The 13,254-nt window shown below is 40.6% G+C and overlaps 1 long non-coding RNA gene across 1 annotated transcript in view; it reads left to right on the forward strand.

The window, feature by feature from the left end:
• Positions 1–13,254, forward strand: part of NALCN-AS1 (NALCN antisense RNA 1) — a 350,962-nt gene that overhangs the window by 309,554 nt on the left and 28,154 nt on the right. The window contains exon 4 of the long non-coding RNA NR_047687.1: positions 6,801–6,920. This is a non-coding gene — a long non-coding RNA (NALCN antisense RNA 1). The remainder of the gene's footprint in view (positions 1–6,800; positions 6,921–13,254) is intronic.

A 13,254-nucleotide genomic window follows, 5' to 3' on the forward strand; every position in this document is an offset into this window, starting at 1 on the left:
TTTAAATACCCTATCTCCAAACACAGTCACATTCTGAGGTACTGGCTCTGCATATAAATTTGGGGGGACACATTTCAGCTCATAATAGATGTGCATCTTATTTTTGAAAATAAAATTACAGAGGTCTTTCCTCTTATTCCCTTTTCCTCTTTCACCATTCCTGCCTTTCCTGTATTAGCTGAGACAGTAATTCATATTGTCAGAGCACACACTGTCTCTCTCTCTCACACACAAACACACATACCTCCACACACTTTATCTTTCCTGCCTCCAAATTATTTTCTTGTTATTGGAAGCAAAAATGCATTTTTCCTTCATAGGCACCTTCTTACCCAGTCCTCAATGGGTGCTGTGATCAAAGGAGGCCACCACAGCTCTATTAGCTCATGCCCAAATAAAGCCAAATCTCACACCTTCCACAAGTGACCTGTGTTGCTCCCTTCCTGAGGTTGTTTCACAGAGAAGAGACCCAAGGTTAGGCTGGCTGTTGGCCTCCATCAGTGATAGTGATGGCTGGGTCACAGGTTGCTGAAGGAGTCAAGGGACTCATTCAATACTGGATGCTTCTGTTCCTCTTTCCTCTGGGGCTGGACTAATTAAGGAAAAATGTTTCCTGGCTGTTCAGGTTTCCTCCATGCTAATTCAGGCCTATTCTTGCAGATGCATACAGTTATGACTTCATTATGCTTGTTGGTATGGAAATAGAGGTAAGATCAGGTGCCCAGTGGTCTGAAAAATGTTGACATGCATTTTTGAGCCTGTCCACAGTTGTCGTTAAAGCCTTGTCAGACTTCCCTGGGAGGACATTTAGAGTGAGAAAAAAGAGAACCTAGGAAAAATTCCTGGGAAACATCAGCATTTCCAGTTCAGCTGCATGCTTGCAGATGCGAAAAAGTCAGGGAAGTGGAAGCCAGGAAGGTGAGAGGAAAACCGGGATGGGAGGAGCTGTGGAGATCAAGGGTGGGGCAAGAGTTTCATCGGGGAGGGGCAGCAGTCTGCAGTGGCCAGGGTTGTGGATACATGAAGCATATGATTCCTGACTAAGTGAGGATTTCTGGAGTGCGTCATCTAATTTTCTCTGAACTCATTTTGCAAGAATTTCCTAGGGATTCCATTGGGGCGGGCGAGGTTCCCCTTGATGCTTTCGTGTAGTAGTTGGCTCAGAGGGAATGGTGGAGGTAGGAGGCATATAGCTCCTCTTCAAGTGCCACTTCAAATCCACTAGGTGTTATCTCTCATTTTGGCTACTGAGCTACATGTTGTGCCCCCGTTCCAGCACCTTCCAGCAGGTGTAACTGACAATACTCACCCCAGGCTCACACACATAGCCTTTGCTTTGTGCTGCTGTCTTCTCCATTGGTATGGCATGGAGCATGGCCATTAGCACCTGCTCAGTGCTCATGAGTGCACCAGAGTTATTTCCCTGTGGGCAGCTTGTGACCAGAGTAGGTCAGAAGCTAATGGAGAAATGCTTCCTCCTTTCCTCCTCTGGGAAAAAGGTCTGCAGAATTGAGCAACTGGTTGCCTGTGGTGATGGCCAAATTTCTGAACACATCATTAGAATGTTAGGGTGACTCTCTCCTCCTCTGCTTTGCTTTCTCTCACCCTTGGTCCATGGACCACCCTCCCTACTGAAGTACTTGCAACTCAACTTTGGGGGAAACTGTGGATAAGAGAATTAGTCTGGGAAGAGTTGGATTACTTAAAAGTCAAAGAGGAATACGGACCCCATTGCTGGTGATAAGAGGAGTGGTGATAATCCTTGGTATGCAACAGCTTCCTGTTACTATGGCTCTTGCCTGTGGTAGAGTGATATGTGGCACAGGTGGAAGGTAATGCATTAACTTAGGTCAGCAGCTGGCAAGCCATCGTCCGTCGCCTATTTTTGTATGGCCTGTGAGTATAAAATGGCTTTTGCATTTTTAGAGGATTGGAACCACACACACACACACACACACACACACACACACACACACACACACACAGAATATGCAACAGAGACTGTGTGTAGCCTACAAAGCCTAAAATATTTTCTGTCTTCCATTTACTGACGAAGTTTGCTGAACTCTGGTGTAAGTGATAGGGTACCATGTGAACAATGAGAACATGAAGAATGGCCATGGCAGCTGACAGCTAACGGCTAGATAGTACTAGTGAACATGAGTAACACTCACAGAATATAAGCAATAATTAGACAAGGCCACTGTGTCACCACCATGGAACAAGACAGACAAGACCACTTCATGACTGTGAGTGAAACAAGATAGAGACAAGGACACCCTGCAACTCCCCCTCCAAATAACTTAACATGCCACTCTTCTAACAAGAATAAGAGACTATCACTTCGTGCTGATTGCAACTCTATCTGTGATTCAATCCTCCTGCCTCCTAATTAAAAATTACCAAGGAACCAAATCACTGAATTGTTCACATACCCTAACAGCATTCAGTCTAGAACTGTCTTTGTTTCCTTCAACTCTCCCTCCAATCACCTGGCACAAGGTCAAATTCTACAAAAATCCTATCTTAATTCCTAGTTTCCAAGACATCCCACAGCCCTACAGAAATAAAGACCACCCAACTGAGAACAAGGATGGTGATTTATTCGGAGCTTGCTGTAGTGAAAGAGTCGGCCACCATCACTGGTGTTTGGCAGAGACTCAAAGGCAGGCAGAGGGGTGGGAGAGCTTTACAGTGGGCAAAAAAGACGTCTTCAGGTGTGCCCCAATTGGAGGCTGTTGGCCTAGAGAAGCTGGAGGTGGCCAAGTAGGAGCAGGGCAGGCTATGTGATTGGTTGGGGACATATTTGACCTTCTCTGGTTTGTCCTGAATTGGAAGTGGGGACAAAAATCAAGAAATATGTCAGCTATTAATCATGTGCTGGTCATTTTGGGCTGATTGCTACAGAAGTTGTGGCTCAGAGTCTTATTGCCACCTCTGGTCCAGCCACTGGCCATGGGTGTGTTCAGTTTTCAGTTCTCTGGAATGCCTTCTTTTCTCTGCAGTAAGCTCAATGAACTTGGAAGCAGATTCTCCCCCACAGCCTCTAGGGAAGAGCCCAGCTATGTCAATGCTGATTTGGGCCTGTGAGACCCTAAGCTGAGAACACAGTTAAGGCCCCCCAGACTTCTGATCTCCAGAGTTAGAAATAAATGAGCACTCTTTCAAGCTGCTGAGTTTATGCTAATTTGTTTGACAACAGGTGATTCCTGATGGTCACTGGTTACTGGACTTGGAAAACTGTGTGAGTGCAAGCATAATTATTAGGATCACAGTGTATGCTGGGTTTTGTTAACTGCATTGACAGCCTTAAAGAAAATGGTACCCTCAGATCAGCCAACTGTCAACTCAAGGTGTGCTGTGAAAGCTGGAGGCCTGTAGAAAGAGTTTAAAGAACCATGACCTCCTTTAGCCAGAGGAAGACTAGATATCTACAAAGACCTCACTTGAGGCTGATCCTTCCTCACAAGATGGTGTTCATCCTCCTGAGGGTCTTTGCTGTGACCCCTTACCATCTCCAGACCAATGACCAGGATCAGGCCTCATAGCCCTGCCTGCCCTGAAAACATAGGGATAAAACAGATCCCAGTGGTTATTTAGCAAATGTTCTGCATCCTCTATGTCTGCATCAGTTACTACCTCAAAACAGCTGGCATTTTGCCTTTTTTCCCCCACTAATTTAAAGCGCATTCTGAGAGCAGGGGTCAGCACACTCTTTCTTTAAGGGTCAGATTGTAAATATTTTCATTTCTGCAAACCATTTGGTCTTTGTTGTTATCCTCCACTTTGCCACTAGTAGACATAGATAATACACAAGCGAATGGGCATGGCTTTTGTTCCAATATAACTTGGTTTACAAAAACAGAAACAGGCCAGATTTGGCCCACAGGCTATAGTGTTCCAGCTTCAGTCTTGGAAAATCATTTAATCTCTCTGGGTTTCATTTCTACACCTGTAAAATTAGAGTATTGTTCTAAGACAATGCCTCTCACACTCCAGCTAGCGTTAGAATCATGTGGAGAGCTACTGAAAGCACAGATTCTTGCACCTTACTCCCAGTGATTCCAGTTGAATAGGTCTGGAGTGGGATCTGCATTTTTAACATGCTCCCAGGTAAAACTAGTGCCGCTGGTCCAGGGACCATGCTTTGAGTAGCAGAAGTCTTGGGCAGTACTTCTCATCCCTGGCTTCAGAGGAGACTCGTGCTGAGAACTTTTAAAAAGATACTGATCCCTCTGTTCCACCTAAGACCAATTAAATTACAAGCAGAATCCAGGCTTCTGAGCATTTTAAAATTTCCCCCAAGGGATCATGTACAATCAGGGTTGAGATCCACTGGTGGAGGTGAGCTCCACAGCCCTGCCCTCCAAGTATGATTCTTGATGAGTGGCCTTGGCATCAGCACAACGTAGGAACTTCCCAGTAACACACAGTCTCGGGCTCCACCTTGACCTACTGAATCAGAATCCACATTATAACAAGATCCCTTGGTGATGCATGAACACATTAAAGTTGGGGAAATGGGGTTCTACAGGAAGGAATGGATGAATATTTTCACAGGTTCCTCTTCTCCTACTACACACCAGGCACTGGGTGGGCTATACTTAAGTCACTTAAACTTGCCTGTGTAGGTTTTCTACTGCTGTCCTGACAGATTAACATAAACTTAGTAACTTAAAGCAACACTCATTTATTTTCTCACAGTTCTGTGGATTGGCAGTCTGGGGAGGCTCAAGTGGGTTCTCTGCTCAGGATCTCACAGGCCCAGAGCAGGGTATTGCTGTGTTAGGCTCTTAACTCAGGCTTGGGGAAGGAATCCACTTCTAAGCTCAATTACGTTTTTGGCAGAATCAAGCTTCTTGCAGTTGTAGGACTGAGGTTGCTGTTTTCTTGTGAGCTGTTGGCCAGGGGTTGCCTTCTGCTTCTAGATGTCTCTTTGAGTTCCTTTTAACTTTTACATTATGTTCAAAGATAGCAACCATTCATCATATCCTCCTCATGCTTCCAACCTCTCTGACTCCTCCTTCCGCTACTAGCTAGTGAAAACTTGCTTTTAAAGAGCTCGTGTGATTATATTAAACTCACCTCCATAATCGCCAATTTTACTAATTCAAGGTTGATGGATTAGTAACCTTAATAACATCTGTAAAATTCCTTTTTCCATAGATGTGTTATCTCGTATATTCCCAGTCACTGGCATTAGGGCTGAAGGTCTTGGGGGACATTTAAGAATTCTGTCTACCTCAATGTACCATGCCACTTACACGTCAGTCTTAGAGTCAGATTTTGAATCTAGGTGTGTCTGATCCTAAGGCTTATATGAACATTATTTTACCAATTTGTTTCTCTGTGGTAAGAACAAAGGTGTTCTTTGTTCAGAGAAATTTATAGTTATCAAAGAGCTTTCACATTGATTTTATTGTTTGGTCTCATAAAAGACCTTTATTAGGTATTATTATTCTTTTTATGGGGGATTGAGAATGTTTAATTATTTGTTCAAGGGCCTATAAGCAGAATATAGAAAATTCAGGACTGAAGAATGGGTCTCCTGATTCCAAATTTCATACTTTTCCTTTTATATTACCACAATTTTATAATTTCTTATTTAGATCATTCTTGTTGTCTAATTAGAAAACAAATTTACCAGGATAGAATAAAAGAAACTAGCAGAGTAGTTGTAGATAGGATGCAAATGTCTGAATCCTGCAGTGGGCCCTGCACAGAAAAATAGACCCACCTGTTACGCTAATTGAAGGAAAAACTCTGCTGAAATTCAGAGAAGTACTCCATTCAGGTCTTAAAAATTATTGTTCTTAAAGAAGACAGTCATTCAATTTTTAAATGTAATTTAGAAAACAACCAATTCACAAAACAAACACTTTTTACTGAATTACAAGTCAATCATGACCTTACTTTGGAGAAATGACAGGAAATATTGGCAAATCATGTGGATGCAACTCACATTTGTGATAAGAAAGTTAGCCTGCTCCCATGGATGAAGCTTAAGGAGAATCATAAAACCATCCTCCTTCTAGTGACTATCTTTCAGTTCATTCTCTTTTTGTTTCAAAAGCAAAGAAACCAATGTGACCTGAATGAACTATAATTACAAAGCTAAGATTCTTTCAGAGGGCAGGATGATATCTACTGGTTGGGGTTTTCTTGGCATGGCCAACTAGGATTCTGGTATATAGGGCATGTCTCTCATGAGTCCCCTAATAATGTAATCATTTTTTCTTCTCCATATGGTGCAAAAGTCATATCTAGTGAGAAAGTATCCTTACATTGCCAGTTTAGAAGTTATTTTATGCTTAAAAAATGGCCCAGTCAGTTGTTCAAATAAAAAACAGCTGGAAATTCAATATCTTGGGCTGTTTCCTTGTCATCATTTATAGATGTAAGGGGTTTCATTACAATCTGAGAGGCAGTCTATGATTTAAACAAATTATCAAAAAAATTAGGCCTTGGTCAGCTCAATTTTATTAAAAGCCTTCAGATCTTAAAGGATCAATGACTACAAGAGAAAGGTTAACCCCCAGGGCTCCTGGTTGGTGAACAAACACATCAAAGTGAAATCAGAGTTAAAAGCTATTGTTCCCTTGGCTAACTTTTGCCTCTGTCATATTCAGTTGATTTGAAGAGATGAGGAATGATAAACAGGACCAGGTTACAAACATAGAACTGTTACATTTTGTTCATTTAGCCAGGAGCTTTATTCTTTTGTTTTTCATGAGATGGGTCATTTTAATAGTCAACGGTGTTGACGACAGTCACCATTCAATCTGTCATTTCTAATACAGTCTTTCCTAGGAGAATATTTCTCACGTGTTTGACAGAAAACATTATCTGTCCATCATTTCCATGGATTCCTGGGTCTCACGGGCAGAAGGACAAGGCAGATATGAGGCGGATCTGGTAAAGTAAGTCATTGTGTACTCTTTGTATTTGTTTGAAGATATTTGGTCATTTTCAGTCATATATGTGATGGAGAACCAGTTGTTAGAACAATGTGTATATTGATGGAGAAACAGGTGGGCCAGAGTGGTCGGTAGTCTGTGTGACAAACAGTGATGCCACTTTCACTATCTGAAAATGAATGAATATATTCATAGTAGTGGGCATGCAAAGGTAATAAAGACCTGACCCCCAACATCAATAATATAATAATGATGAATTCATATTCTAAATCTGATCATTTAAGGAAGGCCATCCATATCTCCATCACAATCACTTAAACAAATGCAAAAATGGATATTCTTTCTAGAATATTTCTGATGAAATTGCTTCTGAAGGCTGCAAATTAGTGCTCAAGACCCTGTTGAAAAGCAGTTTCCTGTATTCACTTATGAAGTCAAATGCAGAAATTATATTTATTTGGATTTTATTTATAGCAGAGAGAATAACTTAAAAACTGACATAGCATTCTTTTCAAATCTGAACTCAATGTCTGATTTTTGGAAGATTCATATCAGCTCTACTCTTATAAATCAGAAAACAAAAACAAAACAAACAAACAAAAAACAACAACAAAAAAAGAAAAACAGGCCCAGACACCAGCAGTGACCCAGTCAACCACTGGCCAGTCAATATGAGAGCCAGCTGGTTCTTCTAGTGAAACCTTCACCTTTCTAATCAGAGGGTTTCAGGTTTTGCTCTCTATTGAGTCAATTGCTTGAGGGTAGAAAAAGAAAATCTTCGAATTGCATTACATACCACTCCTTTCCCTTTCTATAGATTTCCCCCTCTCTCCTTTCCAGGAATATTGATTTTCTTCCCTGGGTTTCTGAAAAAGCTTTTCTCCCCAGGCATCTTTATTTGGTTTGCTGACCAAAGCATTATTCACACTTCTCCTGCGGCCACGCCAATGCCACACCCGCTGCAAGGTGCTCCCGGTCTCCTACCTCTGAACAACAGTGGTCTGAATCTCTGACTTGAGCCGTGCAGCCCTTTGAAAGAAAAGTCATTTAGGAGCTCAGCCCTCTGAGGATGTAAAGCCCGTCGCAGGTGCTTGTTTTGTCTGTCTCCGTGTGTGGAAGATGCCTTCTGTGAGGTCCTGCGCCTCTGCGTAAGCAGCTGAGTAGCTCCTTGGGCTGACAAAATACTTTGTTGTGGCTCCATTACACACCCAGGGCAACCTCTTTAGCTGGATTTTGCAGACCGGGAAATGGGCTCTGAGGGGAAGTCACGCCTCATCTCAAGGTTTACTGAGGAGCCACGAGGAGGCCCCACCGCTGCCACAGCTAACTCATGGCCTCCGGCCAGGAAGTCTGGAGATTTTAAGACCATAATGTCAGCCAGGGTGACCTCTGGAACCTGTTCACCCCTTCACCCGTTGTGAACAAGAGAGCTGAATAGCCACTATCACAGATAATAACAACAGCTGACATTATTAATAGGATGCCTTACAGGCTGTAAAATACTTTCACAAACAGGATCTCATTTGATCCTCATAATCTCAACATGAGGTGCGTAAAGCAAGCAATTATTACTAATCTCCTTTTACAGAAGAGAAAAGGAAGTCCTGAGAGATGAATCCACTTCTGGGAGGTCTGACAACGTTCAGCTTTACCTAAGCCATGGTCAGGAAACTTTTCTGCGTTCCAGGAAATGGCCGGCCACAACGACTGGCCCTTCCCTATAAAAACTTACAAAACCCTCACAGGTGACCTCCTTGTTTACCTATGACAGAACCAGACACAGTGCCAGATCCTCCAAACTCCCATTCTTTGCCTTATATGTAATCAGTTGAACTGTTTGTATCTACTGACTAATCTAGACAAGGTACTTGCTAACTTGACCTGTTTAAAAGTTCGAAATGCCAAACTTTCTTTCTTTTTTTTTTTTTTCCCATCCCACCCCACCCAGATGGAGTTTCACTCTTGTCACCCAGGCTGGAGTGAGTGCAGTGGTGCCATCTGGGCTCAGTGCAACCTCTGCCTCCCGGGTTCAAGCAATTCTCCTGCCTCAGCCTCTAGAATAGCTGGGATTACAGGCATGTGCCACCACACCCGGCTAATTTTGTTTGTTTAGTAGAGACAGGGTTTCATCATGTTGGCCAGGCTTGTTACAAACTCCTGACCTGAGGTGATCTGCTGCCTCAGCCTCCCACAGTGCTGGGATTACAAGTGTGAGCCACAGTGCCTGGCCCGAAATGCTAAACTTTCATCAAGATATTGCAATAGTCTTTTCTAAGAAAGCTCTTCCTTACTTAACTTGTGCCTGGCCCCAAATGCTAAACTTTCATCAAATATTGCAATAGTCTTTTCTAAGAAAGCTCTTCCTTACTTAACTTGGGATTTGTTTTATCTGACACAGGGCACAGGGTAAAGATCAGAGGTGGCTTCCTGTCACTCATCCAGCCAGCCACCCAGCTATGGTTACCCACAGGGCCTGATAGCCATCCCTGCCAGCGGTCAGGGTTGCATTGTGGCCCCCACTCCAGGCCTTGCTTATTGCAGGCTTGGTTCCCATGGCTGCTCTCTGTGTTCTTGCAACCTTGCATCCTGCCAGAATCTCTGGAAGAAAGCTCTTTGGCGAGAAATGAAGAACAATCCCAAAGGTGCTCCAGGAAAGTTCATTATTTTGTGTACTCTGGTGTCTTACCTTAATCAGAGAACAGTTGTCTGTGATCCTCAAAGAGGGAATTAAAGGGAGGAATGGAACCAGAATTCAGTGACAACTGGAATGAGTGACTGAGGTGTAGCGTCAATCATCAAGGTTTATTAAACTACTTAGGGTGCGTCTGGAAAAAACATGAGCCACAAATACATCTGGGGTTGTTTTTCCAAAGAGGTTTTTGGGAGATTTAGTATTTATACATTTCCTTAGAGGGAAAAGGCATGTGGAAAGAGGGGCAGGTAGGCAGTTGGCAAATACTACATTTTACATAAGATAAGGCAAATGAAGAGAGAAAGAGAGTAAAGGAATAGTCCATTTTACTTATGTCTTTGTTCTGCACCTGGGAGGAAGTTCTTCATGACATCAGTGTGGAATCAACAAACTTTAGTTTTAGGAGCTAGGCTTAGTTTGTAGACCTACAGTTATAACTGGTGGTTCTGTTGATGGGATGCCAGTGAAGAATGTACTTAGGAATGATCTGTGAGGACTGTCCTTTCCTGATGCCTGAGTCCTTTTTCTTGGGGTGAGCGGGGGGTACAAAATAGGAGCATATATTTATGGAGTACATGAGATGTTTTGATACGGGCATGCAATGTGTAATAATCATGTCATGGACAATGAGGTATCCATCCCCTCAAGCATTTATCCTTTCTTTTATGAACAATCTGATTACACTTTTTTACTTATTTTAAAATGAACAATTAAGTTATTATTGACTATAATCACCTTATTGCCAATGTTTGTCATTCTGTGCCTGGCTTATTTCACTTGATAGAATGTTCGCCAGTTCCATCCATGTTGCTGCAAATGTCAGGATCTCATTCTCTTTTAAGACTGAATAGTGCTCCATTGTGTATATGTAGCACATTTTCTTTATCCATTCATGTGTTGATGGACACAGGTTGCTTCCAAATCTTAGCTATTGTGAACAGGGCTGCAACAAACATGAGAGTGCAGAAATCTCTTGCATATACTGATTTCCTTTGTTTTGGGTGTATACCCAACAGTGGGATTGCTGGACCATATGGTAGCTCTATTTTTAGTTTTTTGAGGAACTTTCAAACTGTTCTCCATTGTGGTTGTACTAATTTATATTCCAACTAACAGTGTAGGAGTGTTCCCTTTCCTCCACATCCTCGCCAGCATTTGTTACTGCCTGTCTTTTGGATATAAGCCATTTTAACTGGGGTGAGATGATATCTCATGGTAGTTTTGTTTTGCATTTCTCTGATGATCAATGATGTTGAGCACTTTTTTGTATGCCTGTTTGCCATTTGCATGTCTTCTTCTGAGAAACCTCTATTCAAATCTTATGTCCAGTTTTTTGATCAGATTATTAGACTTTTTCCTATAGAGTTGTTTGAGTTCTTTATATATGGCGCTTATAAATCCCTTGTCAGATCGGTAGTTTGCAAATATTTTCTCCCATTATGTAGGTTGCCTCCTCACTTTGTTGATTGTTTCCTTTGCTGTGCAGAAGGTTTTTACCTTAATGTAATCCCATTTGTCCACTTCTGCTTTGGTTGCCTTGCTTGCTGGGTATTACTCAAGAAATTTTTACCCAAACCAATGTCCTGGAGAGTTTTTTCTATGTTTTCTTGTAGTAATTTCATAGTTTGAGGTCTTAGATTTAAGTCTTTAATTCATTTTGATTTAATTTTTGTATATGACCAGAGATAGGGGTCTAGTTTTATCCTGCATATGAATATCCAGTTTCCCCAGAACCATTTATTGAAGAAACTGTCTTTTCCCCAGTGTATGTTCTTGGCACCTTTATTGAAAATTCACATATTGTAGGTGTGTGGATTTATTTCTGTGTTTTCTATTCTGTTTCATTGGTCTATGTGTCTGTTTTAATGCCAGTACCATGCTATTTTGGTTACTATGGTTCTGCAGTATAATTTGAAGTCAGGTAATGTGATTCTTCCAGTTTTGTTCTATTTGCTTAGGACAGCTTTGGCTATTCTGGGTGTTTTGTGGTTCCACATAAATTTTAGGATTGTTTTTTCTATTTCTCTAAAGAAGTTCAGTGGTATTTTGACAGGTATTGCATTGAATCTGTAGATTGATTTGGGTAGTATGGACAGTTTAATAATATTGATTCTTCCAATTTATGAACATGGAATATCTTTCCGTTTTTTTGGTGTTGTCTTCAGTTTCTTTCATCAGTGTTTTGTTGTTTCATTATAGAGATCTGTTGCTTCTTTAGGTTAATTCCTAGGTTTTTAATTTTACTTTTGGCTTTTGTAAATGGGATTTACAAAAATTTCTTTTTCAGGTTGTTCACTGTTGGTATACAGGAATGCTAATGATTTCTGTACGTTGATTTTATATCCTGCAACTTTACTAAATTTGTTTATCAGTTTTAATAGTTTTTTGGTGGAGTCTTTAGGTTTTTCCAAATATAAGATCATATCATTTGCAAACAAGGAGAATTTCACTTCTTTCTTTCCAATTTGGATGCCATTTATTTCTTTCTTCTGATTGCTTTAGCTAGGAATTCCAGTAGTATGTTGGATAATACTAGTGAAAGTGGGCATCCTTGTCATGGTCATGTTCCATATCTTAGAAAAAAGCTTTCAGTTTTTCCCCATTCAATATGATACAAGCTGTGGGTCTGTCATATATGGCTTTTATTATGTTGAGGTGTGTTTCTTCTACACCCAGTTTTTTTAGGGTTTCTTATCATGAAATGATGTTGAATTTTATTGAATGCTTTTTTGGCATCAATTCAAAAGATCCTTATATCCTTTATTCTGTTTTATCCTTTATCCTTTATTCTGTTGACATGATGTATCATGTTGATTAATATACATATGTTGAAAAATTCTTGCCTCCCAGGGATAAATCCCACTTGGTTATGATGAATGATCTTTCTAATGTGTTGTTGAATTCAGTTTGCTAGTATTTTGTTGAGGACTTAAAGGCCAGAGATTTTGGCCTGTGGTTTTCTTTTTTTGAGTGTCTTTGTCTGGTTTTGCATTATAGAATGAATTTGGAAGTATTCACTTCTCCTCTATTTTTCAAAATGGTTTGAGTAGGATTAGTATTAGTTCTTCCTTAAATGTTTGGTAGAATTCAGCAGTAAAGCCATTGGGTCCTGGGCTTTTCTTTACTGAGAGAATTTTTATTTGATCTCATTACTTGTTATTGGTTTGTTTAGGTTTTGAATTTCTTACTGGCACAAGCTTGGTAGGTTTTATGTGTCTAGAAATTTGTCCATTTCTTGGAGAAATTCCAATTTATTGGCCTATAGTTGCTTATAGTAGCCACTAATGATCCTTTGAATTTTTGCAGTATCAGTTGTGAAGTCTCCTATTTCATTTCTGATTTTATGTTTTTGTACCTCTATTTTTTAAATTAGTTTGACTAAAAGGTTTGTCAATTGTGTTTAACTATAAAAAGAACCTTTTTGTTTTATTGATCCTTTTTATTATTTTTTTTCATTTCAATTTCACTTATTTCTGCTCTGATCTTTATTACTTTTCTTTTACTAATTTTGAGTTTGGTGTGCTCTTGTTTTTCTATTTCTTTAAGATGCATCATTAGATCACTTATTTGAAGGATTTCCCCTTTTTTGATGTAAGCATTTGTAGATATAAACTTCATCTTAGTACTGCTTTTGCTGTATCCCAT

The sequence above is a fragment of the Homo sapiens genome, chromosome 13 (assembly GCF_000001405.40).
Source record: "Homo sapiens chromosome 13, GRCh38.p14 Primary Assembly".
Taxonomy (NCBI): Eukaryota; Metazoa; Chordata; class Mammalia; order Primates; family Hominidae; genus Homo; species Homo sapiens.